Source organism: Homo sapiens, chromosome 17, assembly GCF_000001405.40.
Source record: "Homo sapiens chromosome 17, GRCh38.p14 Primary Assembly".
In the NCBI taxonomy this organism is placed as follows: domain Eukaryota; kingdom Metazoa; phylum Chordata; class Mammalia; order Primates; family Hominidae; genus Homo; species Homo sapiens.
In genome coordinates this window covers 79821651-79845067 of record NC_000017.11, presented here as the reverse complement: position 1 = coordinate 79845067, position 23417 = coordinate 79821651, and the positions used below count along the sequence as shown (strand labels likewise).

The 23417-nt window shown below is 59.8% G+C and overlaps 1 protein-coding gene and 1 long non-coding RNA gene across 3 annotated transcripts, besides 16 other annotated features; one reads left to right on the top strand and one right to left on the bottom strand.

Moving 5' to 3' along the window:
- Positions 13-232: a silencer, noted in NCBI's record as "silent region_9095". NCBI's record gives its function as "represses an Ori minimal core promoter by ATAC-STARR-seq in GM12878 lymphoblastoid cells {active_cell/tissue: GM12878}" and the evidence as "EXISTENCE:reporter gene assay evidence [ECO:0000049][PMID:35858748]".
- Positions 2501-3322: an enhancer, noted in NCBI's record as "H3K27ac-H3K4me1 hESC enhancer chr17:77815545-77816366 (GRCh37/hg19 assembly coordinates)". NCBI's record gives its function as "activates a minimal SCP1, AML or CMV promoter by ChIP-STARR-seq in primed H9 embryonic stem cells {active_cell/tissue: H9 hESC(primed)}" and the evidence as "EXISTENCE:reporter gene assay evidence [ECO:0000049][PMID:30033119]".
- Positions 3323-4146: an enhancer, noted in NCBI's record as "H3K27ac-H3K4me1 hESC enhancer chr17:77814721-77815544 (GRCh37/hg19 assembly coordinates)". NCBI's record gives its function as "activates a minimal SCP1, AML or CMV promoter by ChIP-STARR-seq in primed H9 embryonic stem cells {active_cell/tissue: H9 hESC(primed)}" and the evidence as "EXISTENCE:reporter gene assay evidence [ECO:0000049][PMID:30033119]".
- Positions 5032-5741: a silencer, noted in NCBI's record as "silent region_9094". NCBI's record gives its function as "represses an Ori minimal core promoter by ATAC-STARR-seq in GM12878 lymphoblastoid cells {active_cell/tissue: GM12878}" and the evidence as "EXISTENCE:reporter gene assay evidence [ECO:0000049][PMID:35858748]".
- Positions 5628-11912, top strand: CBX4 (chromobox 4). 2 transcript variants are annotated; one of them, NM_003655.3, is made up of 5 exons: positions 5628-5885; positions 6014-6057; positions 7166-7231; positions 9356-9422; positions 9673-11912. In NM_003655.3, exons 1-5 carry the CDS (start codon positions 5817-5819, stop codon positions 11107-11109), a joined length of 1683 nt encoding a protein of 560 aa, NP_003646.2. In that variant the 5' UTR covers positions 5628-5816; the 3' UTR covers positions 11110-11912. The 2 variants fall into 2 exon arrangements, with proteins under 2 accessions (NP_003646.2, XP_011523701.1); XM_011525399.3 differs by lacking the exons at positions 5628-5885; positions 6014-6057; positions 7166-7231 and adding an exon at positions 8888-9091.
- Positions 5791-6612: an enhancer, noted in NCBI's record as "H3K27ac-H3K4me1 hESC enhancer chr17:77812255-77813076 (GRCh37/hg19 assembly coordinates)". NCBI's record gives its function as "activates a minimal SCP1, AML or CMV promoter by ChIP-STARR-seq in naive H9 embryonic stem cells {active_cell/tissue: H9 hESC(naive)}" and the evidence as "EXISTENCE:reporter gene assay evidence [ECO:0000049][PMID:30033119]".
- Positions 6613-7436: an enhancer, noted in NCBI's record as "H3K27ac-H3K4me1 hESC enhancer chr17:77811431-77812254 (GRCh37/hg19 assembly coordinates)". NCBI's record gives its function as "activates a minimal SCP1, AML or CMV promoter by ChIP-STARR-seq in naive H9 embryonic stem cells {active_cell/tissue: H9 hESC(naive)}" and the evidence as "EXISTENCE:reporter gene assay evidence [ECO:0000049][PMID:30033119]".
- Positions 7469-7518: an enhancer, noted in NCBI's record as "active region_12923". NCBI's record gives its function as "activates an Ori minimal core promoter by ATAC-STARR-seq in GM12878 lymphoblastoid cells {active_cell/tissue: GM12878}" and the evidence as "EXISTENCE:reporter gene assay evidence [ECO:0000049][PMID:35858748]".
- Positions 7504-7798: a silencer, noted in NCBI's record as "tiled region #202; K562 Repressive non-DNase unmatched - State 2:TssF". NCBI's record gives its function as "represses a minimal TATA promoter and a strong SV40 promoter by Sharpr-MPRA in K562 cells {active_cell/tissue: K562}" and the evidence as "EXISTENCE:reporter gene assay evidence [ECO:0000049][PMID:27701403]".
- Positions 7709-7788: a silencer, noted in NCBI's record as "silent region_9093". NCBI's record gives its function as "represses an Ori minimal core promoter by ATAC-STARR-seq in GM12878 lymphoblastoid cells {active_cell/tissue: GM12878}" and the evidence as "EXISTENCE:reporter gene assay evidence [ECO:0000049][PMID:35858748]".
- Positions 7839-7888: a silencer, noted in NCBI's record as "silent region_9092". NCBI's record gives its function as "represses an Ori minimal core promoter by ATAC-STARR-seq in GM12878 lymphoblastoid cells {active_cell/tissue: GM12878}" and the evidence as "EXISTENCE:reporter gene assay evidence [ECO:0000049][PMID:35858748]".
- Positions 8259-9080: an enhancer, noted in NCBI's record as "H3K27ac-H3K4me1 hESC enhancer chr17:77809787-77810608 (GRCh37/hg19 assembly coordinates)". NCBI's record gives its function as "activates a minimal SCP1, AML or CMV promoter by ChIP-STARR-seq in naive H9 embryonic stem cells {active_cell/tissue: H9 hESC(naive)}" and the evidence as "EXISTENCE:reporter gene assay evidence [ECO:0000049][PMID:30033119]".
- Positions 9996-10045: an enhancer, noted in NCBI's record as "active region_12922". NCBI's record gives its function as "activates an Ori minimal core promoter by ATAC-STARR-seq in GM12878 lymphoblastoid cells {active_cell/tissue: GM12878}" and the evidence as "EXISTENCE:reporter gene assay evidence [ECO:0000049][PMID:35858748]".
- Positions 12373-13194: an enhancer, noted in NCBI's record as "H3K27ac-H3K4me1 hESC enhancer chr17:77805673-77806494 (GRCh37/hg19 assembly coordinates)". NCBI's record gives its function as "activates a minimal SCP1, AML or CMV promoter by ChIP-STARR-seq in naive H9 embryonic stem cells {active_cell/tissue: H9 hESC(naive)}" and the evidence as "EXISTENCE:reporter gene assay evidence [ECO:0000049][PMID:30033119]".
- Positions 17215-17714: an enhancer, noted in NCBI's record as "H3K4me1 hESC enhancer chr17:77801153-77801652 (GRCh37/hg19 assembly coordinates)". NCBI's record gives its function as "activates a minimal SCP1, AML or CMV promoter by ChIP-STARR-seq in primed H9 embryonic stem cells {active_cell/tissue: H9 hESC(primed)}" and the evidence as "EXISTENCE:reporter gene assay evidence [ECO:0000049][PMID:30033119]".
- LINC01977 (long intergenic non-protein coding RNA 1977) lies at positions 17364-21616 on the bottom strand. Its single transcript, NR_146504.1, has 3 exons — positions 21530-21616; positions 21194-21273; positions 17364-18984 (listed from the first exon to the last, which is right to left on the bottom strand). It is a non-coding gene; the product is annotated as a long intergenic non-protein coding RNA 1977 (long non-coding RNA).
- Positions 17715-18216: an enhancer, noted in NCBI's record as "H3K4me1 hESC enhancer chr17:77800651-77801152 (GRCh37/hg19 assembly coordinates)". NCBI's record gives its function as "activates a minimal SCP1, AML or CMV promoter by ChIP-STARR-seq in primed H9 embryonic stem cells {active_cell/tissue: H9 hESC(primed)}" and the evidence as "EXISTENCE:reporter gene assay evidence [ECO:0000049][PMID:30033119]".
- Positions 18406-18682: a silencer, noted in NCBI's record as "fragment chr17:77800185-77800461 (GRCh37/hg19 assembly coordinates)". NCBI's record gives its function as "represses an EF-1alpha promoter that drives an FKBP-Casp9 reporter gene in an ReSE screen in HepG2 liver carcinoma cells {active_cell/tissue: HepG2}" and the evidence as "EXISTENCE:reporter gene assay evidence [ECO:0000049][PMID:32094911]".
- Positions 21617-23417: the final 1801 nt, after the last annotated feature.

The following is a 23417-nucleotide window of genomic DNA, read 5'->3' as shown; positions in this document are numbered from 1 at the left end:
GCTTTTCAGGCCATCTCTCATTGCAGCGAGACCCCCGCTTTGCCCGCGTCCGGACCTCCTTCCCCCCTGCGGGAGAGGCGCGGAGGGGCTGCCGGACCGGCCAGGGGGAGCCCGCCCCCTAGGGGAGGGCGTGGCGAGTGCAAGCTCCTCTGCGCCCCTGCCCGGGCCCTGCCTGGGCACCCGGGACTGGCAGGCGAGGAGCCAAGGGGGATCCCTGGGGTTGGGGGCTCGGGGGGGCTGGGGGAGGTCCTCAGGGGCCATCCCCAGGGACCACTTCAGGAAACGGCCTTCTGGAAGAAGCTGGGGAAGGGGACTTTTAGGGCACACCTGGGTTATCTTCCCGTAGGTGGGGTCGAGGGGACACCCGAACATTTCTACCAGGATTCAGGAGGGCGGGGCGACCAGATAGACTGGGGTGACCGCGTCCCACGACCTCGTCATCGGGGATGGGGGTGGGGTTGGGGGCTGGACAGGTAGGGATGAAGTTGCACTGCGACCGGACTCGGCTCCGGAAGTGTCCAAAGCCTGGGCCCCATGCAGACAATATGGAATTTTGGGGGTGCCCGAGGTGTTACCACCCGCCCTGCAGTGCAGGCCAAGCTGCGGTCCGGCTGGGCCCTGCCGGCCGCCATCCCACGGCCACAGGATCCCTGAGCCCCTCTCCGTTCGCCCCTCAGTCCTGCAGAGGCATCGGGACCCCCCAGGTGTCCGGCGGGGTTCACCGCGCTCCCGCCTTTGGGGATCGATCGGCTGGCGGGCGACGCGCGGCCGCGGCTCCGGAGCCTCCGCCCCCCTCCCCCTCTCGGGCTACGCAGGACGCGGCCTCCAAGCAGCGTCCTCGCGGTTCCGGGCCGCGGCCAGGCCAGGCTGCAGGCCAGCCGGGGAGGCGGAGACGCGCCGGGCCCTTCCGATCGGGCCGCCCCTCGGCTCCGGGGTTGGGGAGAGGGAACTAGAGCGAGCCCAGCTTCTCCGCCAGCGGCGCTCGGCGCCCCCTTTTCTCGCCCCCCTCCCAAGCCAAATACCCCCACCTCGCGCGCGCGCTTAACCCTCGGCGCGCCGCGAGGCTGGGAGCTGGGAGGGGAGTAGCCGAGGGGGAGGGGCGCAGGGGAGCGAGTTGGAGGGGGGCAGTTGCGCTTCGGCTGACGACCACTTCGGGGTCCGCCTAGCGATTTTTATTTCATTCCCTGCCTTGCTGCAGCAGCTCTTGGTTGGAAAAAGGAAGAAAGAAATCTGCCCTGCGAGTGGGCCCCGCTGGGTTTGGGGGCGCGACGGGGACACCCGAGAGGAAAACGCAGGGGCTGGCGTGAAGGGGTGAACCTCAGGGGCACGGGAGAGCCGCGGGGCGACCTTGAGCAAACGAAACCCAAATAAAAACACAGTGCGCCGAGGCCGTTGTGAGCGCGGCGGCGGCGGCGGCGGGCGGTGGAAGCCGTTCCAAAGATCATATTTGAAATATGGATCCCGGGGGCGCAGATCTCCAGGCCGGCGGGGCCTCGCGACTGAGTGGGGGCCGGGGGCCGGGTGGGCTTCTCCGGGCGGGCCTGAGGTGGCTGCCCTGACGTTGGGAGGGACGGACGTCGTAGAAAACAGCGCGTCCCGCTTCGGCGCCTGCGACCCCAGCGTGCCGCAATGCGGAGGCGCGGCCCTGCGGGCGGCGGTGTGGCCCCGAGGGGTGCTTGGGCCCTGCCAAAGGACCCTGGCGTCGCGGTGCTCGGGGCCCGCGTCCCCGTCCGCGCACCCTGTCGGGCCAGTCCGCAGGAACCCCCGGCTGCAGTGCCGCGCGGCCCGCTAGGGTGGGACTCGGGGGCGTCGGAGGCTTCGCCGACCAAATGAAAGCCGAGCTTTCACGGGCGGTGGGACAAAGAGCAGAAACATTGAAGTGGGGACCCGGGGGTTGGGGGGGCACCCTTAGAAACAAAGCCACTCCTCCAGAAGGGTGGAGGGGCGGAGTGCAGGGCTCCCTCACAGCCTCCCCCTGCACGCACAACCCCACCAGTTCCGCTGCCCCTAAGCTGCCGCTACAAGTACGATATGATCAACGCCAGCGCGAAGTTTTTCTAAGGACAAGGGAGAGAAATGAGCGCTTGTTAAAGCCCGGGTAGATTCTGTAGTGGTTACTGGTAAATCCCCTCTCGGTGATCTGCAATCCACCTCCGAGGGCCGGGAAAACGATACCAACTTGAGAGCTTTCTGAGTCGGGGGAGCGACCCGGGAAGCCACAGGCGGCCCGCTCAAGGCAGAGCCCAAATCTGGGTTCCGTGGGCTGGCGGTGGCAATCTCCTGGCCCAGAGCACCCGCTCAGCGAGAAGATTCCCTTAAGAAGTCGTTTATTTCCCCGGGATGGTGCGGGTCATGCCTCTTCCCAGACCGAACACTTAGTAGCCACCCTCCAGCCCACGGCTGTTAAAAGGTTCCCGACCTCTCCAGGGTCCACTCCTTCAGCCTGGCCCCCACCAGGAGCGAGCCTGTGGCTGAGCTAGATAGCAGCTCTCCTCTCCTGGGGCCCCTGAGGGCCCTGGGGGCCCAAACCGAGGTGGCGTCTGGAAGGCTTCAGTCTGGCAGCAGAACCAGGGGCTCGACCAGCCCCTGTCTGGGAGGGGGCAGTATCAAATAAGCAGGCCAGCGGCCCTTCTCGGGGACCTGTGCGGAGCTGGTTATCCGAAGTCGGGGGCAGGAGCCCCAGCAGAAGGCTCTGGGAATCCCAGGTGTAGGGCTAGTTTCTCCTGCGGCTCCCTGGGAGGGGCCAAGACAGCCGGGTGGGATGGTATGGGGCACCCCCCCGGGAGGTTTCCCAGGAAGGGCCCTCTGGGGCATCAGGGGAGCTTCCAGGGCGTCCGCTGTACCTTCCCAGGATTCTGTCCCACCTCCTGGCGCCCATTCGCTCTCCCGCGGACCTGAGCTCCTCCCCACACCGGCTGGCAGGGGTGGTCTAGGGACCAGCCACCGAGGTTAGGTAGGGGCCTCTCTCCCCATCTGCCCACCATCCACAAAGACAAAATAAATAACCACGGAAGGGAAGTCAATTGCTGGTGCTTGTGCATTTCACTTTCAAAGTCGTTGGCAAAAAGGCCAGGAGCGGGGGTGGCCGGGGGCTCCTTGGGCTTCTGAAGTGCTTGGGCGGCCCCTCAGGTAGTCTTGGGGAGCCTCAAGACGCTTCCTGCCGCCGCACAGGCAGCAACAGAAAAGATCCGCTGCACCGACCCCCGCCCCTTCCTCCCCAGCTCCGCGGCTGGCCCAGCCCGGGTCCTGCGCAAACTCGTCGTCGGGGCACCGGGTCCTGCTGTGTGGCCCCGAAGTCCTGAGCGTGGGCCCCTGAGGGGCCTGGGCGTAGTGAGCGAAGCGGAGTCCGACGCCCCTGGCAGCAGGGAGGCTGCAGCAGCCGCTCGGCCTCCCCCGGCAGCCCAGACCTGGACGCCGCGGAAACACCCATTGCAAACAGATTTTCCAGGGGATTTTCAAGAGGGGGAGGGTAGAGTGTCGGGAAGCTCAGCCCCTTCCCGGACAAGGGGACTGGCCGGGACAAAGTTGCTGCAGACCTCCCGATGGTCCGACGGCGCAGACGGCCTGTGCGGCGTGGACGGATGACTGCCACCTACAGCGCTTCCCGCGCCAGCCTCGCGACCCCTCTCCCTCCGCGGTGGAGCTGCCCCGCGCGACAGTTCTTCGCCCTGGGCAAAAATGCCAGGAAAAAGCCAAACACGGCAGGAGAAAAATATTTTCCTGTACACCCACCCAGCTTCTGGTGGCCCCTGAGAGCCGGCCCCCACCCCCCGCAACTAGTCAGGGAAACCAGGCAGGCGTCGTCCCACCTTGCTTGCCCCCCCGCCGCACCCCAACACTCAGGGAATCCTAGGTTTGCGCCTCAAGCTCGTTAGAGATCAGTCGCAAACCCAACACCTCTGCTGTCACCAGAAGACAACCGTCACCCCTACACCCCTGGGGAGGGGCCACGTGGGTCTCGGTGGGTAGCAGCCGCCGGGCAGCAGCAGCCTCCGTGGCGCAAGAGCTGCAAGGTGGTAATGAAATGGAGTCCACGTGTGCGTTCAACACCAGACCGTCTTCGAGCTTCTCCGGGATTCCTGGGCGAACACGAGCCCCGCGCAGGCTCCTCCCTCCCCTGCTCGCCCGAGCCCCCGTGCGGTCCCCAACAGACAGCCGGGTCGCGTGTCAGGGCGGTGGTGGAGACCCGGATGGCTCTTTGCCCGCCCCCATCCCTCGCTCCACTCTCGCTCTGCTTTTGCTCTTTTTCTTTCTCCGTGGACGCTCAGCCAAGGGATTGCGCAAGCCTCCTGCTCGCGGTCCTTCAAGAGCCCGGAGCCGGGGCCCAGACACACCCCAGGCCAGGCGCGCCCCTGCCCCTGCCCCTCGGGCCGCGCTGTCCGCTCCCGGGTCCCCCCACCCCGACCCCACGGAGCTCGCGGGCCCTCGGCGGCGCCCTCGGCAGGCCGCATAGGGCGCAGCAGCTCCACCAGCCGGACGCAGGAGCCGCGCGCCAGAACGCGCCGTCTCGCCGCCGGAGGTGCCAAACTTCACACTCGCTGCTGCTCAGGCCGCGTCAGTCCGGAGGGCCTTGGCTTGGTCGCCTGTCGGGAACAAGGGTCCGCGGACACAAGGCGAATGCGTGGCTCCTCGGCCATTCCGTTCATCTCCCCTTTGCGCTGCCCGTTCGTCCCCCGCTCAGCCTCAAGCTCTTCCCGGCCCTCCCAGCTCCCTGTTTCTAGGCCACTCCCGGGACCCCACGAAGTCCCCTCAGGCCCCCAGGCGGACCCTGGCCTCCCGCGCCCGCTCTCTCTGCCTCCTACGCCTCTCGCCTAGCTTGGCTCTGGAGGCTGCTAGAAACAGGACATCTCGCCCCGTCAATAAGAGGACCAAGTGTAAATTCGGAGCCATTGAGGATCGGGGTGGGATCGGATTTGGAGCCCTTTCTGCCGAGGTTCTTGGGCGCCAGGGCCCCGGGATTGGCTGCTCCTCGGTCCCCTTCCTCGTGCGTTCTTCAATCTCTCCTTGGCACCCAGTCCTCGGCCTTCTCTCCGCCCTGTCCCTTTCCCTCCTCGCGCTCCAAAATGCCCGGAGCCTGGAGGCGAGGCGGGGCCCGCAGTGGGGCGCGAGCTGCCCCTGCCCCATTCCGCCCCCTGCCGGCGGGGCCCGCGCGTCCCGGGGCGCTGGTGACGCAATTCGGTGCAACTGGGAGCGGCGGCGGATGCTTCCGTGGCCCCCAGCAGGGGTCCCGGGGCCGTGAACACTGAGAACGTGCCGCGAGGGGGAGGCCCGGGCACCGGGATGTGGGCGAGGGGTCGCCGCCGAGACCCTTCCGGGCTGTCAAGCTCTCCGCCCGCCTCCGCCCCGGCGGACACACCTCTCCTTCCCGGTCCCGCTCCCTCTCTGCAGCCTCCCTCTCCCAGGCTCGCCGATCCCTCCCCCTGCACCTCCCCGGCGCCCTCCCCTCCGCGTCCCCCACCCGCGCCCTTTCCTCCTCCCCCCGCCGCCCAGGCCCGGGGCCTCCGGTAGGCCCGGCTGCGCCAATCCGCGCCGCGGCCCGCCCCCTGACGCCGAGCTGGGCCCGGCGAGGCCCCGCCCGCTGACGTCCGGGATTTGCATGAGTTCTTGTGCAGCCGCGGCCCGGGCTCAGTTGTCTGAGCGAGCGCGAGCCGGGAGCCGGGGCGGGCGCGGGCAGCGGCGGGCCGGCCGGGCTGTGCGGGGCGAGCGGCGGCGGCGGCGGGGGCGCTTCGGCCGGGGCGGCAGCTGGGCGCCGGCGGGAGCTAGCAGCGTCTGCAGCCGCGCCGGCCGCCAGCGCCCCGGCGCGCTCCGGCTCGGCCATGGAGCTGCCAGCTGTTGGCGAGCACGTCTTCGCGGTGGAGAGCATCGAGAAGAAGCGGATCCGCAAGGTAGGGCGGCGCGGGGGCGGCGAGCGGCGGCCGGAGCGGCCCGCGAGGAGGCGGGGAGGGGGTGGGGAGGCTGCGGGCCGGGCCGGGGATCCCGCGGAAGCTGATGGAGTGCTGTCTCTTCCCCCCAGGGCAGAGTGGAGTATCTGGTGAAATGGAGAGGCTGGTCGCCCAAGTAAGTCGCGGCGGAGGGCGGGGGCCCGGGGGCCGAGGCGCGGGGCTCGGGGCCGCGGACCCGCCGAGCTGCTGGGGGGGTGGGGGGAGCGGACGGGAGGCGGGGTGGAGGTGGGGTGGAGGGAGGAGGGGGTGGGGAAGTCGGTGGCAGGCACTGGGGAAGCCGAGCCGCCGAGCCCGAGCCCGGCGCCCTGTGTTGTGCTCCGCTCTCCGGGAAATGCCATCACTAATTTATGCACTAAAAGGAGCCGGAGGAGCTGGAGAGACGCGGGGCCGAGCCGGGGAGGCCGGCGGAGGGAGGGAGGGCGCAGGCACTGACTGATGTGCAGCAGAAAATGGCTCCTTTCCCCTTTCCCTCCACCGAACGGCTCCATATTGCAAAACCAAAAAAAAAAAATTAAAAAGCGACGAAAATGCAATTGTGTGCCTTCTCCCTCCTAGTGGTGCAGGGAGGGGAAGAAGAAAGGCAGAAAATGTTGGGAACTGTCACTGCGGCGCTTTTGGTGGAGAATTTTTTTTCTTTAATTTGAAATGCGAAGGCACCGGATGGAGATAGACGCGCAGGCACACGCACACTCACACACACACACGGAGGCATATTTTTGTGTTGCTGAGTATTTGGGGTTTGCTCGCCCGTGACAGCGGGCTCCTGGGCCACGAGGGGGTGTGGGGGGGACGCTTGGCTGTTGGCTATCGGATTAGGGGTCAAATGGAGAACGGCTGAAGCCCTCGCGGGGACTCGGGGCTGGGGAGAGGAGGGGGACTGCGACTTTGCATTTCGGCTGCTTTGCACGCAGGGTTCCTGGTGAGCAAAGTGGCTTTGGAACATGTCGCAGTAACATGCTTAAAATTCTTGACAACTGCAAAATAAACTGCTAGTTTCATTTTCCTTACCCCTCCCCTTTCTTCCTGCCCTTGCGTGTTTATTTGAGGGGGGGGCTGTGTATCAGGGACTACGTCAGGCCTGCGGAAATCTACCTTCCACATCCACGGCTAAATGTTCATAAAGACAGAGTAGGGCCTTATGTCACTCCCCACCTGGAGGCCGCGGCAAAGGTGGCTTTTTTTTTTTTTTTTACACCGTGTCCCCCTCCCTTTTCCCTTGCAAGATATAACACGTGGGAACCGGAGGAGAACATCCTGGACCCCAGGCTGCTGATCGCCTTCCAGAACAGGTGAGCGTCCCCCACGCAGCCACCGCCTGCCACCCGTGACCGTATATGGGAATGGCAAAGTGGGCGACGCAGCAATAGGAAAGGGGCGTGGAGGGGGCTGGTGGGAGCCCCCTCCCCAACCGGCCTGGATGGGCACGCTGCGGCCCCAGCTCCTCTAACCAGCGTCCTTGGCGGTTGCTGCAGCTTGGGGTGGGGGCGGGGCAAGGCCAGGGAAGGCCAGGCTTGGGTTTTGGGGGAAGTTTGGGAAGGGTGTGTGTGGGTGGCCATGCAGCTGCCCGGAGAACTTGGGGCTGTGCCTGGTTCCCCAGGGGCCCCTCCTGTTGCAACCTGGGAGCCCCACCCCCGGAGCCTAGGTGTTGCTGTCCTGCAGCCACTGGCCGCTTGGCACCAGCACCTCGCGGTGCAGCTCTGAGGGAGCTGGCATTGTGAAACCGCCCGGACGTCATGGAACTGAACTTAACCTGTTGGCGGCTGGAGGAAAGTTGACATGGCCTTAAAAGCTGCACCCGCACACCCCAGGGAATTTAAGCTTGGTCAGGAGTAGATTCCATAGGGTGCTGGGTTGCCCCCCGCCCCGGACCCCACTGGGCTGTTTGGCAGGGCAGGGCCACCCACCCTCAAGGCAGGGGGGCTTGGCCCAAGGGCCTGGGGTGGGCGCTGCTTGGTGGTGGAGGGGTGGCTTCTTCTGGGGGACTCATCCTCGTGCGCACGGTTGCTTGTCACGCTGCAGCTGCTGCAGCTGGGTTCGTCGCCGGTGGCTGTGGTTCTCTGTTTCGGAGAGGGTAGAAGGGGGAAGGGCGAGGAGGGGAGGAGCAGCCGGGGCCCTTGGAGCTCGGCCACCCCGCTGCCTTCCATCTCTCCTCCCCCTTTTATTTTGCACTATTTCCTGTGGCGCGTTTGGCGCTAAAACTGTAAACTGTAGACCCTCTGAGCTAGCCACCGGCGGGGCAGGGCAGTTGCCCTCCCGCAATGCAGGGGGGGCACGTAGCTGGGATCCTGCCCCATTCCACCTGGGAGTTCACCACCCTGTAACCATGTCAGCGGCTGATGCCACGTTGCATAATGGGTCCCTGAAGAATTAAAACGCAGGCTGTCGCAATGCCACGCAACTTCAGAGTCAGGCCCCGGCCCCCGCCCTGGGGCATGTCAGAACTCCCCAGGGTTGGTCCAAGGAGGCATGGGGGTGGTAGCTAGGGTCTGTGAGGAACCCGTTTCCGGCCCAGGAATGGGCTGCAACTTTGGCAGACACTAGAGAGGCATCCCACTCGTCCGTGGAGGGCTGGGTAGTGCCTGGGAAGATCCAGCCCCCAGCTGTGGATCACCCTTAGGCTGGCCTGCAGGCAGGAGCCTGGTGGCTGTAGTGACCGGTGCCTCCGCCCATGGGCTTTATTCATTATTTGGAAATTGAGGCAGCCAGGAGCCAGACTCCGAGGAGGAGGCGGTGCTTCTCTAAGCTGCTCCGGCCACGCCCACCTGCTCAGCTGGGAGGAGCGCAGCGTTCACCAGGTGGCCACAAACCTGGCCACACCCTGGCCTTGGTGGCCCGCCCCCGCCCCCAGCCCCTAATTGGCTCATTTGCCGCTGTGTAAACAAGGGCGCAGCCCCTCCCCCTGTTTAGTGCCTGGCCTTTAAGAAAGGGCCCTCCCTTCTGCCGGAGGCACTCGTTATCGGAATCTTAATGAGGTCATTAGCATCCCGCGCTTCTGACGGGAGGGATGAGGTCGGCGCACACCTCGCTTGGGCTGGTTTGTCTTCCCTGGATCCCCGTGTCCACTTTGCTTCGCACAGAGCCACAGGCCCAAGGCCGTGGGCAGGAGGGCCAGAGGTGCAGCCCTGAGCTTCTGCCTCCTGAGCACAGAGGTGGGGCTTGGGGGGGTGCTGGTTCGGGTGTGGGCATCAAAGTGGGGGAGCCCTTTGCCCAGGACCTCTTGGGCAGAGGAGGGTTGGTGTGAGGGTTAAGGGCGCAGAGGCCTGACCTGCCCTGAACTCTTGATTCCTGTGTCCGGCCAGCCCTACCTGATGCTCTCTGAAGCGGGGGGGGGGGCATCACAGAAGATTCCGGAATTAGCGGGTAGGGGGCGACCCTGAGGCTAACAGCACTGCCCTCTGTTCCCTCCCACCCAGGGAACGGCAGGAGCAGCTGATGGGATATCGGAAGAGAGGGCCGAAGCCCAAACCGCTAGTGGTGCAGGTGAATACACACGGCCGCCCCTGGGCACCCCCTTGACATGGCCACCAGAGCTGCCTCCAGGCCTGGGGATGGGGGGGGTGGTGGTGGTTCCTCCCAGCACCCTGACCCTGTTCCCTTTCTACTAGACCTCCCACCTCCTGCCCCCCATGAGGCAGCTGCGGACCTGGTGGGGGCTGGGACGCTCCAGAAACTCCCGGCATGCGGTGGGGCTGTCTCCTCCCTCCTCTCACCCCTGCACCCGTTCCCTCAGGTGCCTACCTTTGCCCGTCGTTCCAATGTCCTGACCGGCCTCCAGGACTCCTCCACTGACAACCGTGCCAAGCTGGATTTGGGCGCGCAGGGGAAGGGCCAGGGGCATCAGTACGAGCTCAACAGCAAGAAGCACCACCAGTACCAGCCGCACAGCAAGGAGCGGGCGGGCAAGCCCCCGCCGCCGGGCAAGAGCGGCAAGTACTACTACCAGCTCAACAGCAAGAAGCACCACCCCTACCAGCCCGACCCCAAAATGTACGACCTGCAGTACCAGGGCGGCCACAAGGAGGCGCCCAGCCCCACCTGCCCGGACCTGGGGGCCAAGAGCCACCCGCCCGACAAGTGGGCGCAAGGTGCGGGGGCCAAAGGCTACCTGGGGGCGGTGAAGCCCCTGGCCGGTGCGGCGGGTGCTCCAGGCAAAGGCTCCGAGAAGGGCCCCCCCAACGGAATGATGCCGGCCCCCAAAGAGGCTGTGACGGGCAACGGGATTGGGGGCAAGATGAAGATAGTCAAGAACAAGAACAAGAACGGACGCATCGTGATCGTGATGAGCAAATACATGGAGAACGGCATGCAGGCGGTGAAGATCAAGTCCGGCGAGGTGGCAGAGGGGGAGGCTCGCTCCCCCAGCCACAAGAAGCGGGCAGCCGACGAGCGCCACCCTCCTGCCGACAGGACTTTTAAAAAGGCGGCGGGCGCAGAGGAGAAGAAGGTGGAGGCGCCGCCCAAGAGGAGGGAGGAGGAGGTGTCCGGGGTTAGCGATCCGCAGCCCCAGGATGCCGGCTCCCGCAAGCTGTCCCCGACCAAGGAGGCCTTTGGAGAGCAGCCCCTGCAGCTCACCACCAAGCCCGACCTGCTTGCCTGGGACCCGGCCCGGAACACGCACCCGCCCTCACACCACCCGCACCCGCACCCCCATCACCACCACCACCACCACCACCACCACCACCACGCCGTCGGCCTGAATCTCTCCCACGTGCGCAAGCGCTGCCTCTCCGAGACCCACGGCGAGCGCGAGCCCTGCAAGAAGCGGCTGACTGCGCGCAGCATCAGCACCCCCACCTGCCTGGGGGGCAGCCCAGCCGCTGAGCGCCCGGCCGACCTGCCACCAGCCGCCGCCCTCCCGCAGCCCGAGGTCATCCTGCTAGACTCAGACCTGGATGAACCCATAGACTTGCGCTGCGTCAAGACGCGCAGCGAGGCCGGGGAGCCGCCCAGCTCCCTCCAGGTGAAGCCCGAGACACCGGCGTCGGCGGCGGTGGCGGTGGCGGCGGCAGCGGCACCCACCACGACGGCGGAGAAGCCTCCAGCCGAGGCCCAGGACGAACCTGCAGAGTCGCTGAGCGAGTTCAAGCCCTTCTTTGGGAATATAATTATCACCGACGTCACCGCGAACTGCCTCACCGTTACTTTCAAGGAGTACGTGACGGTGTAGCCGGAGGGCGTCGGAAGGGGAAGCGCCATTCCCGCGGGGGGGCGGGGAGCTGAGCACCTGGGGCCTCGGGGCGGGCTCCCCTCTCGCCAACCCGCCAACCGCGAGAGACCCAGGCTGGCCCCCAGGGTGAGGACGCCCGGAGCGGAGGTAACCATGTTCCCCCTGCGGCGGCTGTCAGACCTGGGCGGAGGCCCCTTCCACGCGGTGCCGGCGGGGCTCGCCCTCTCCTGCCCTTCCCCGCTGGAGATGGACCCCCGGAACGGACAGGGCAGCTCTGCGCCCGGCCTCAGAGTTCTAGTATTATATTTTAACCGTGCTAACTTGTCAAGTGCTGACTCTACTCCCGTTTGTACGTGGTGTTATTATTGAAATGTATTGTTTGAGCTCAAAAGGCCCGACCACCCCCCTTCGGGCTGCTATATATATATTTATTTGTAGGTATTTATATATTGAAATATAAAAACCTAGATTTATGGAGTTTCCTCTAGATCATGTTATATTCTATATCAGACAAACTATTTTCTTTTGACCTTTCTTCCCCTCCATCCAGTATTTCGGTTGATTTCATTTTCTCCCCTCTCTTCCCCTTCCACGAACTGCAATACCAGTAACCTTGGTATATATTTTTTGATACTGTACACATGGATGTCTTGTTTCTATGTGCAAAAAAAAAAAAAAAAAAAAGTTTGTTAAAAGGCTACACGAGCTCTCTAGAAACTGCTGCTACTAGAAATGTCTAAACTATAAGCTTCCAACTATTACCTGCTTGAATGTAAATATTAAATGGAGATGTTGAAGGTGCATTTTCGCTGTTTGAGATGAGCGGACCCCTCTCGCCACCAACTCCGCCTTCGAGCCCTGTGCTGAACCTTTGCACCAGCGAAGTGGGCTGGTTTTGCGGGCCGCGGCGCCGGCGCAGGAGGGTGACCCCGCTCCCTGGGAAGTCGAGAGGCGCCCGGCTGGGAAGGGGAATTCCTGCGGGGGGGTGGGTGTGGGAGCCGTCCCCGCCCCCAGGGCTTTCCGGCCGGCGGTGCCCAAGGCACTGGCAAACCCTGGGTTCTGGGTAGGGGAGGAGGGGGTGCAGGGGTGGGCGGCGCGGACACGCGGGTGGGGCTAGTCTCCCTCGCGGCACCCACTGGGCAGCGGCTGACCTTTGGCTCTCCTCCCCCGTAGCCTCCACCCCTGGGGCTCAACACACCCAGGCGCAAGCCCTGGCGGGGCAGGGAGGTTCCTTCTTAATAATCGCGCCCGGTAGGGCAGGTTCCGCGGGGCGGGGACCCCCAGCCTCTCCGGCGTCCCTGGCTGGCATCGCCGGCCCTGCCCCACTGAGGAAGCTGCCGAGGCCCTTGCTCTTCGGGCTCTCTCCCCGGAAACCACCAGGCCAGAGGCTCCCACTAGAGGCGCGGCGAGCGCTGCCGGGGTGGGGGGCGGGGGGCTTCCTGCGAGATGGATGGGGACGGGGAGGAGGGCGGGGGAGCGAGGCCTGCCACCCCCACTTCCTTAGCGAGGAGAGCTGGGACTCCTCACCCTTCTCCCTTAGGGTGGCAAGGCCAAGGCCCTTGGTGTCGCGGGGGAGGAAGGGGTTAAGGTCCCAGAGGGGGCGACGGGACTGGGCCGAACTCCGGGGTGCGGCTCAGCGGGCCAGGAAGCCGCGACCCGGGAACGCGGCGGCGGTGGCCAGCTTTCTGCAGACGCAGCGATCTTCCTCCTGGTTGAGGTGGCCGCACAGGGCCAGGGACCGCGGGGCTGGGGGCCTGGCGGGCGCGGGGCTGCTCCCGGCCTCCGAAGCCCTTCCCCTGCCCGCCTGGGACCAAGGGGCCCGGGTCTGTGCGGGGCGCCAGGGCGGAAGAGGTCAACGTGGTTCAGAGTGGTGGGGGGTGGCGAGGTGGCGAGAGAGCCAGTGTGGGGAAGGCTGGGGAGAGATGAGGGCCAGGAGGGCGGGGAGGCCTGAATGCGGACAGTGTGGCCAGTGTTGGCTGCAGGCCACCAGCGGCTGGACGTGGGGGAGGGGAGCCCAGCATGGGGAGGGGAGGGGGAAGGGAAGTTCTTTAAAAAAAAGCCGTTGGGAGTTTCTAGCCCTGGCTTTTGTGAGTGGTCCCTCCCACTCCCCGGTCACCCCAGCCCCATTTAGAGTGAGTTACACAGTCCCCTCCCCCTCCACGGAATGAATGTCCTTTGCCACCCCGGGGGTGGAAGGAGGGTGATCTTGCTTCTGGCAAACTGCCTGCTGGGCACGAGAATTGGGCCTGTCCTTCACCGGCTGGTACACAAAGGCCCATGCCAGGCGTGGACGTCGTCTCCCTGTTTTTCTAGCTGAGGAGAACTGAAGACTCGGGAGGGGAAGGGAAGCCTCTTGTTCAGGCCCACAGTTGGTGACCAGAGTGACCCTTAGCCCTTGGTGGTGTCCCCCACCCTGTGGGTGGCTTCTGCCTGGCTGGGTCTGGGGGTGGGAGAGGGGAGGTAGAGGGTGGCACTCCCGCAGAACAGGGAAGGAAACCGTTCCACTACCATTCCTGGAAAGGTGTGGCCTGCAGGTGGCCTGAGGCCTTCAAAACCAGGCCTGCTAGCAGAGCCCTCGAGTGGAGAAGGGTGGTCCTGGGCAGAGCCTGAAGCCTGAGGTCAGAAGGCAGACAACGGGCAGAGGCCACGGGTGGGTCAGGAAGAGCTGCTGGGATATCAGCCTGGTGCCAGACCCAACAGAGTGCCCAAGACCCCCTCTGCCCCTAGTGTCCGAGACCCCCTCTGCCCCTAGAGTGTCCGAGACCCCCTCTGTCCCTAGAGTGTCCGAGACCCCCTCTGTCCCTAGAGGGTCCGAGACCCCCTCTGTCCCTAGACGAAAGGGACATTTGCTGACCCTTCTGAGACATGTCAGGTGCCACTGGGCTTGTGACTCTTGTTCAATTCAGTCCCCACAGGGGTTGGGCTTCCCTGTGGGAGGAGAGTCTGAGGTCCTGATAGGCAGACAGCCTGCCCAGGTTCCATGCTCATTCTAGAGCCCAGCTGGCTGCTCCACCACCTGCAGGGAGACACGCCATGGCCACCTGCCCCAGGGCCTCTTGGACACAGGCTTTCGAAGGTGTTAAGGGTTTGGAAATGCTCCAAGGGGGCCAGGGACAGGAGGGTTTCTCCTCAAAGGGTCTTTGGGGTGGGGAGAGTCCAGGTGCCCCAGTTCTTCTGGGTGTAGACGGCCTCTTCCTAACCCTGGATGTCCCTCAGTGCCCACAAGCAAAGGGTAGTAAAACCTCTCTTTGAGCCCAAGCTCAGGGAAGAGAAGGAAAGCAGGGTGCTAGGTCTTAACCCTGCACACTAGCAAGCCCACGGTCTTTATTTTTCCTCAAAATGAATCTTTCTAATGGGGCTGAACCTCCAGCATTCAGGCTGGAGCTCACCCAGGCAGAGAGAGGAGCACTTGTGTATCCACCCCTGAAAAGCGAGCCCTGCCTACCCCAGCCCCGCCCCAGTCTCTGGTCTCCGTGCAGCCTGCCCCTCCCCCAGCTCATTTGCAGAAGAGCCAAGTTCGGCCCTTTAGCGTTTGCTCCATCCCTGGATCCCACTGGGTCCAGCGGAGAGGAGATCCACAGATCCAGGGTGCTTTGGGTCCAGTGTTGGCAGACTGAGCAAATAAAAATCTAGGGCGCCCAGTGAAATTTGAATTTCAGATGCACAATGCATAATCTTTTAGTGGAAGTTGTCCCATGAAATGCTGGAGACATATTTCTACTTTTTTAAAAAAAGGATGTGTTGTTTATGTAAAATTCAGACTCTAGTTGGCCATCCTGGATTTTATCTGGAAGCCGTATTTTGGTCCTGAGTCGTCAACAGGGTCAGTCCCTGCCCACAGGGATGTTCTAGTCCAGTAGGAGAGAGAAGGCATGGGAAGCTGAAAGCCACCTGTCCTGCCACTGTGGTTATGATACTGTATGTTGTCAGGCATAGAACAATTGCTGGATGACTGCATGATGGTAGGGTCCTCACCTGGTATTTAGTGGGGGCTGGGTGGGAGTTCTCAGGTTCTCTGTGCATGCGATACAACCCAGAGAAGTGGGGGAGACCAGAATGGGTCCCTCTGCCATTTGACCCACATTGGGCTCCTCCCCGACTCCCGCCAGCACCAAACAGCAAACTTCTAGAGCAAACAAGGGAGATGGCTGGTGCACCAACTCCCCTCACCAGAGAACCTTTACCTGTCCACAGCTCCATTTCTTGGTTACCTTAAAGGATGAGCCAAGATGGTGAAGATGAATTGGGTTGGGAGAGAACCTTAAGCACTCCTGGAAAACTCCCTAAGTAAACACACAGGTTATTTTTTCACCAGGGAACATTAAACATCTTGTGTCAGATCTAAATGTCTTCTAACGATTTCTGGCCTGGAGTCTTAGTTTGACTGAGGCATGGACACACAGTCATATTTACCTCTAAAGAACTCTCCTGACCCCTCTCCCCCTCTCTAAAGAACTCTCCTGACCCCTCTCCCCCTCTCTAAAGCTCTCTGCCTTCTTCCCTCAGTTCCTGCTGGGGGGATTATCTGTGGATCTGAAACCTCAGCCTCAGCCTCCCCAACTTTATCCTGGGTCCCTAAGAGTGACATTGGGACAGGAGAGTTAGGACAAGCCGCAAATTGGCAAGCCTGCACTTGGACAAAATCAAATCTTCTTTCTTCTCCAAATAAGCGTATTCTCTGGCTCTGTGTTCTGGTGGCTGCTCCTCTGAGAAGGTGACTGCTGGGCAGAGGAAATCCTACTGAAGGTTGTTATTCTTGGACACAAGTGTCTACTTCCTGCAGCCACCACACCCCCAACTCCCTCCTCCTGCTCCTCTCTTCCCTTTGCAGTAAATGATAACAGTTAACATTGATTGAGCTTACTATGTGCCAAGCACTTTAGGGGAATTATCTCATTAAATCCTCACATCTGGTGAGGTGGGGAATGTCATTGTCCCTCTCTCACAGGTGGCAATATGGAGGCCTTGAGTAACCTGCCCAAGGTCAAACAGCCAGTCAATGAGGAAAGAAGGATTTAGAGCTAGCATCATCCGCCTCTCAGGGTCCGTCCTGCTCCCAATTTCCAGGGTCCTGTGAGTCCTTCAGAGGCCAGCTCAGGCCCCATCCCCTCCCTGAGGTTGTTCTAGATTATTCCAGCCTTTACCAGGGCCTGCTCTGCTGAATTATTGATGTATTCACTGTTTACTGCCCCCCACCCCCGCCCACTACTCATTGTCAATCAATTGCACATTCCAACACCCATATATGCATATGGGCCTGGATTCTCCAACTAGACAGAGCCTGGAGCTCCTGAAAGGAAAACAGTGTGTCTTGGTGTCCTCTGCACTCCCTCAGCTCCTGCACAGTTCTTAAATAGAAACCTCAGAATCCAATGCCTTGTGTCTGTATAGAACTGTGTGTGTGTGTGTGTGTGTGTGTGTGTGTGTGTGTGTGAGAGAGAGAGAGAGAGAGAGAGAGACTGGGGCTTTCAGGCAGAGAAGCCAGTTCCTGCTCTGCAAGCCGTTAACATCACCCACAAACCCAGGGCCCAGGGCTGCCCCCAGGAGCCCCAGCATTTAGGAGACTCATCCCTCTCATCCCAGAGGCTGTTCCCTCTCTCCCCACCATGGGCAGAGCAGACATGTGCACGCTCAGCTGCTCTGGGGTCCTGCTGCCCCCTGGCTCTCCACCTGATCCATTGGTGAGAATTTCAGGAGACTCCAGGTAATTATGTAGTAATTGAATTTGGGGAAACAGACCCTAAGGATAATCCTGGAGTAAGTTCCAGAGGCTCATGGTTGAATTTCTGTATTTAGCCTAGTGGTACCTGTTATACATTTTTTTCTTTTCTTTATTTTTTTTTTTGAGACGGAGTTTCGCTCTTGTTGCCCAGGCTGGAGTGCAATGGCGCAATCTCGGCTCACCACAACCTCCACCTCCCGGGTTCGAGTGATTCTCCTGCCTCAGCCTCCCGAGTAGCTAGGATTACAGGTGCCCACCACCATGCCCTGCTAATTTTTGTATTTTTAGTAGATATGGGGTTTTGCCATGTTGGTTAGACTGGTCTCGAGCTCCTGAGCTCAAGTGATTCACCTGCCTCAGCCCCCCAAATTCGTGGGATTCCAGGCATGAGCCATCATGCCCAGACACATGTTACACGTTTCTAACAGCATGGCAACCACTTTACCCTTACGTAGGCAGCTTTAACACGCAACTCAGGGTGGCAGAGATGTGGGTGTGCATGTGACCCCCCCCCCACACACACACAGCAACACACAGAGGACAAAGCACACTTTTATTTTTGGATCTGGTCTTCGTGTGAACTGTTTGGATAAGGCCTGACACATAAGAGCTTACTAACTGTTGGCTGGGATTATTTCTCTTAACCAGAAAACTTGATTACCTACAAGTTTTCAAATCTAGTTTGGGGCAGAGGGCTGACATTAACAAGAGATATCCAAGATGCACGTGTGTGCATGCATGTGTGTGTGTGCATGCGTGTGTGCGTGTGTGTGCATGTGTGTGCGTGTGTGCATGCATGTGTGTGCGTGTGCGTGTCTGTGTGCATGCATGTGCGTGCACACGTGTGCGCGCGTGTGTGCATGTATGCATGCATGTGTGCATGTGTGTGCGTGTGTGTGCATGCATGTGTGTGCATACATGTGTGTGCATGCATGTGTGTGCATACATGTGTGTGCATACATGTGTGTGCACGTGTGTGTACACGTGTGTGTGCACGTGTGTATGCACGTAGGGCTGGAGATCTGCAGCGATGCAACCTATCCTGGCAGGAACGCCTCTCTTTGGCTGCCCGAGTGAAGGACCCTTTCAAACGCAGCCTGGAGTTTAATATTGCCAACAACTGGCCCTGAATCCTTTCAACCTGAGCCAGGTGTAATGTAAACCCCTCTGGATTTCCTCCCTTTCCTGTTTCATCTGAGAAATTCTTTGCTAATTCCATGGTATCTGGTTTCTCATTGTTTCCCCCTGCGTTAGACAGCCTCTTGGGGTGGGCTTTGGGAAGATGTGTGGAATGCACTCAGCCCTCCGAAATGACACGGCTCTACGCTCATTCCCACTGCCACCCTCCGGAACCTCCTAAGAGACTGTGCTGGCTGTCAGGGCCACGTGAGTCTTAGTACCCTGGGGAAAGGGGCGAATACCTGTTACACTGTCAGAGAACAGTCTCCAGTGGTCACCACACTTTCGTAAACCAGTGTCCAAATTAGGAACAGGACAATTAATGTCAAGCTCCTTTGGAATATGACACTGAGATGAATGTCACAAAAATAATAGTGTACTATCCATTCTTTGTTAGGATACTTGCTGTTTGGGGTTGAGGACAAGGAAAAAGACAAGCCAGGTAGAGGAAGGCTGGGCCAGTGCAGCAGGACCATCTCCTCCTCTGAGCCTCCAGAGGAGCTGGGAGTACAAAATCCTGTGCATGGCAGGGGGTGGGGAGTGGAGAGATTGCCGAGCAGAATCCCTTCTAGGAAGAGCGGAAGTGAGCATCATGATAGCCGTTTCCTGCCTTGTTTATGGCGCACTCCGACTCTCCCACCAGCGCCGAGGTGGAAAGAGGAAGTGCCCAGCAGGGCGAGGGAGACTTGGGGCTGGCTGTGTTCCTCTCAACCTTCCATGCATCTTCCCACCGTCTCCTCTCCTGGCATTGAAAATTATTTATGTTTGCAAATTGCTTTTGACTCACATGAGTTATTCCTCTTGCCTGCCAACAAGTCTGGGGAGAGAAGAGAGTTATCGAGCCTGCGAGCTGAGAAATCCAGGGAAGACGAATGCTGGAGCACCGAAGTCAAAGTCATCAGCCTTGGGATTCAGTCCCTGCTCTGCTGCTGCTATGGCCATTGCGTCCCCTTTCTGGACCTTGGGTTTTTCATCTGCAAAAGGAGAGGGTTGGGTGGAGTGTGAGCTCTCCAGGCCCTTGGTTCTGACATCCCCTGAGCTGTGTCACCTGAAGAGGCAAAGAAAAGGTAGGCCAACCTCTGAGCTGCTCCCTAACCTGCAGCTGGCGAGCCCTGAGACTGCTGAGGGCCTGAGGCTGGAGACGGTGCTAAGCAGCCCCTGGCCCAGCAGGAAGAACTAGACAGGGTGGCCAGGAGTGTTTCTCCCCTTTGTCTTTTGCATCACTCTGGTCCTTAGTGATGTCTTGTTCCATAGACTAAGATGAAAACAAATGTTTGCAGAGGAACCAGAAGGGCGGAAGTCCCAGGGGTTGGTCCAGGAGGGAAACACACACAAACATACCAAATCATCATCATAACCAAGACCAGGGACGGCGCAGGGTCAGCTCCACGGGGAGTGTAAGTCATCTGCCCCTCCCAGAGGAAAGGGTTGGCCCATTGATGGTGGAGTGATAGCTCCTGGAAGCTCAGAACAGAGAGGGACCAGGGGGTTTCTATTCCAAGCCCTTTGTTCTACAATGGGGAAAGTGAGGCCCCAAAGACAAAAGTCAACATCAAGGTGAATGATTGACATCATCACCTTGGCAATGATGATGTCATTGCCAAGACATCATCGTTGGGCAAGAGAGACCATTCTTTGCCCACAAGTGGATATCTGAGTTCCAGTCAGGAACAGTGTTTACCTGTCTACCAGCTATAAAATTAGGTATAGTAATAGGAATGATGATAACATAATTCAAAGTTCAATGCCGAAGCAGTGAGTGAGTGGTCAAGTGTGGCTGTTAGAGGGCCGTGGTCTGGCTTCCATTCTCCAGACTGTGGTTTGGGGCCTAACCCAGAAAGATGTGAGGGTCTGGTCTTCCTCCAATCCGGTGACCACCAAGTGGAGAGGAAGGCTGCTGTGGGCCCCGTCCTTCAAAGGGTGAGAAACCTGCTAACCTCAGAGCTGGGAGTTGACTCTGCCTTGGCAGGCAGACAGACAGTATTTGCTCAGCTGTAGCCAAACCACAGCGAACCTCAGCCCTAGGTCCACAGGGGAGTAGGGGTCTGTGTGCCCTCCTGTGCAAGAGGACCTATGGGTGGGCAGAAGGCAGTTAGATGGCAGGGAGAGGAGCTTTCCTATGGAATGCTTGGTCCTGAAGCCAGCCCTTTCTCCTGGGCCTGGAGATGAGTTCCTGGATGAGTCTCGCCTAGGGTAGAGTATGAGGCCTCCAAGGTCCAGCTCCGCAGAGGGAACTCTCCTCACTTCCATTTTAATCCTCTTAGGAAAGAAGTGAGAACCAGAGGGTGCACCTTGCAGTCTTTAGCTGTAGGTTAACCTGGTGGTTGATCCATGTGGCACTTGCAGTCATGGACATTTCAGTGTTTTGGAGAGAGAATAAGAAAGGGATGAGACAGGGATAAAATCAAGGGAGAAGGCGGCAGCAGGGAGAGAGGAAACCAAGAGAAGAGCAGAGATAAAGACAGAGACAGAAACAGAGGTCAGGAAGCCAAAGGGTCGGGGACCAAACACCAGAGAAACATCATAACAGAAACAGACAGAAGCAGGCGAGGAGCACCCAGGATGACCGGGGTGCCCAGGACAACGACGAGGAAGACACAAAGGCCCAGAGGAGGCGGGAAATGGTGCGAATCAAAAACACCGCACTGGGCAGCCATAAAAAAGAACGACGTGGGCCAGGTGCGGCGGCTCACGCCTGTAATCCCCATACTTTGGGAGGCTGAGGCGGGAGGATCACCTGAGACCAGGAGTTCGAAATCAGCCTGGCCAACATGATGAAACCCCATCTCTACTAAAATTACAAAATTAGGCCAGGCGCGGTGGCTCACGCCTGTAATCCCAGCACTCTGGGAGGCCGAGGCGGGCGATCACGAGGTCAGGAGATCGAGACCATCCTGGCTAACACGGTGAAACCCCATCTCTACTAAAAATACAAAAAATGAGCCTGGTGTGGTGGCGGGTGCCTGTAGTCCCAGCTACTTGGGAGGCTGGGGCAGGACAATGGTGTGAACCCGGGAGGCGGAGCTTGCAGTGAGCCGAGATGGCGCCACTGAACTCCAGCCTGGGCGACACAGCGAGACTCCATCTCACAAAAAAAAAAAAAAAAAATTACAAAAATTAGCCAGGCGTGTTGGTGTGCACCTGTAGTCACAGCTTTTCAGGAGGCCGAGGCACGAGAATCACCTGAATCCTGGAGACAGAGGTTGCAGTGAGCCAAGATTGTGCCACTGTGCTCTAGCCTGGGTGACAGATTGAAACTCCATCTAAAAAAAAAAAAAGAAAGAAAGAGATCACGTCCTTTGCAGGGACATGGATGGAGCTGGAGGCCATTGTCCTCAGCAAACTAACGCAGGAACAGAAAACCAAACACCACATGTTCTTACTTATAAGTGGGAGTTAAATGATGAGAACACATGGACACATAGAAAGGAACAACACACACGGAAGTCTTTTGGAGGGTGGAGGGTGGGAGGAAGGAGAGGATCAAGAAAAACAGCTAATGGGTACTAGGTTTAATACCTGGGTGAGGCTGGGCACGGTGGCTGAAGCCTGTAATCCCAGCACTCTGGAAGGCTGAGGCGGGCGGATCACGAGGTCAGGAGATCGAGACCATCCTGGCTAACACGATGAAACCCTGTCTCTACTAAAAATACAAAAAATTAGCTGGGCATGGTGGCGTGCGCCTGTAGTCCCAGCTACACGAGAGGCTGAGGCAGGAGAATGGCGTGAACCCGGGAGGCAGAGCTTGCAGTGAGTGGAGATCGGGCCACTGCACTCCAGCCTGGGCAACAGAGCGAGACTCCGTCTCAAAAAAGAAAAAAAAAATACCTGGGTGATGAAATAATTTATGCCACAAACCTCCACGCCGCAAGTTTACCTACGTAACAAACCTGCACTTGTACCCCTGAACTTAAAATAAAAGTTAAAAAAAAATCACATTGGAAGGATCAAAGCCAGTGTTACCAATCATGGGCCAAACTGCCATCGTGGGCCTCCCAACACTGAGAAGCCGCACCCAGAAGTCCGTAGTGTCATTCCAGCGGTTTTCCCGCCAGAACGCAGCGCCCGAATCCAACCACGAAGAAATCCCAGATGCGTACTCTTCAGAAGCCAAGGTGAAAGAACACAGAGAGAGGCCAAGGTCCTGCCCAGCGCAAAGGAGACCAGAGGGAGAGGGCGCAGAATGAGCGCAGGATCCTTTGCTCTTGGAACAGAAAAGAGAAGTGAGTTATAAAGAGCATTATTGAGGAGACTGAGAAAACGGCATCTGGACTGTGGGTTAGACAACAGTATTGGATTGATGTTAAACATCCTGATTCTGGCCATTGCACTGTGGTTGTTGTGTAAGATCTTGTCCTTGATCTCAGGGAAAACACACTACCCCAAAGTATGCAGGCAGAAAGGGCACAAGGTCTCCAATGGACTCTCAAATGGTTCAGAAAAAAATATGTGGGAAGGCCGGACGCGGTGGCTCACACCTGTCATCCCAGCATATTGGGAGGCTGAGGCAGGCGGATCACCTGAGGTCAGGAGCTTGAGACCAGCCTGGCCAACATGGTGAAACCTCGTCTCTACTAAAAATACAAAAAATTAGCCGGGCGTGGTGGCCGGTGCCTATAATCCCAGCTACTTGGGAGGCTGAGGCAGGAGAATTGCTTGAACCCGGGAGGTGGTGGTTGCAATGAGCCGAGATCGCGCCTGGGTAACAAGAGGGAGACTCCATCTCAAAACAAACACAAACACACACACACACACACACACACACACACACACACACACACACACACAGAATAGAGAGAGCACCAATGACAAAGCAGATGGGCAAATGTCAACAACTGGTAAATCTAGATAAAAAATATAGGCAAGTTCCTTTACTCATCTTGCAGCTTCTCTGTAAGTTGGCCAAAAATGCTGAGCTGAGATTTAAAATAGGTTCTTCGGAGTGCCTCCTTGGGGCTGGGGATAGGCGCTGGCCCTGGAGCCTCACGGCAGGCCTGGGAAGGACCGCAAGTGCCTCCCTACCTGGGCCAAGCGGAGAGTCCCAAACTGCTGCGGCTGTGAATGGCCTGGGTGGGTCGTCTGCCTGCGCATGCATTTTCAGATCCTTCACCCCATGTCCTCAACACAAATGAACAGGATTCTGGGAGGGTGAGGACACTGGCACCAGGGCCCTGTACCAGGAGGCTCCTGGCCACCTCCAGCTCAGCCTGGCCCCTCCCACTGCACAGCTTAGCCCCACCTTTGGCCAACCACAATTCTTTGGCCAAGTGGGAAAGCAGGATGTGGCAGAAAGAGCAAGGATTAGGGGTTCAGGCAAGACCAGTCGTGGGTACCAGCTGCTCTGCATTTCCTAGCTCTGTGCCCTGGCACTGATGGCTCTGCCCCCAGACCTGCCCAAGGCCAGCTC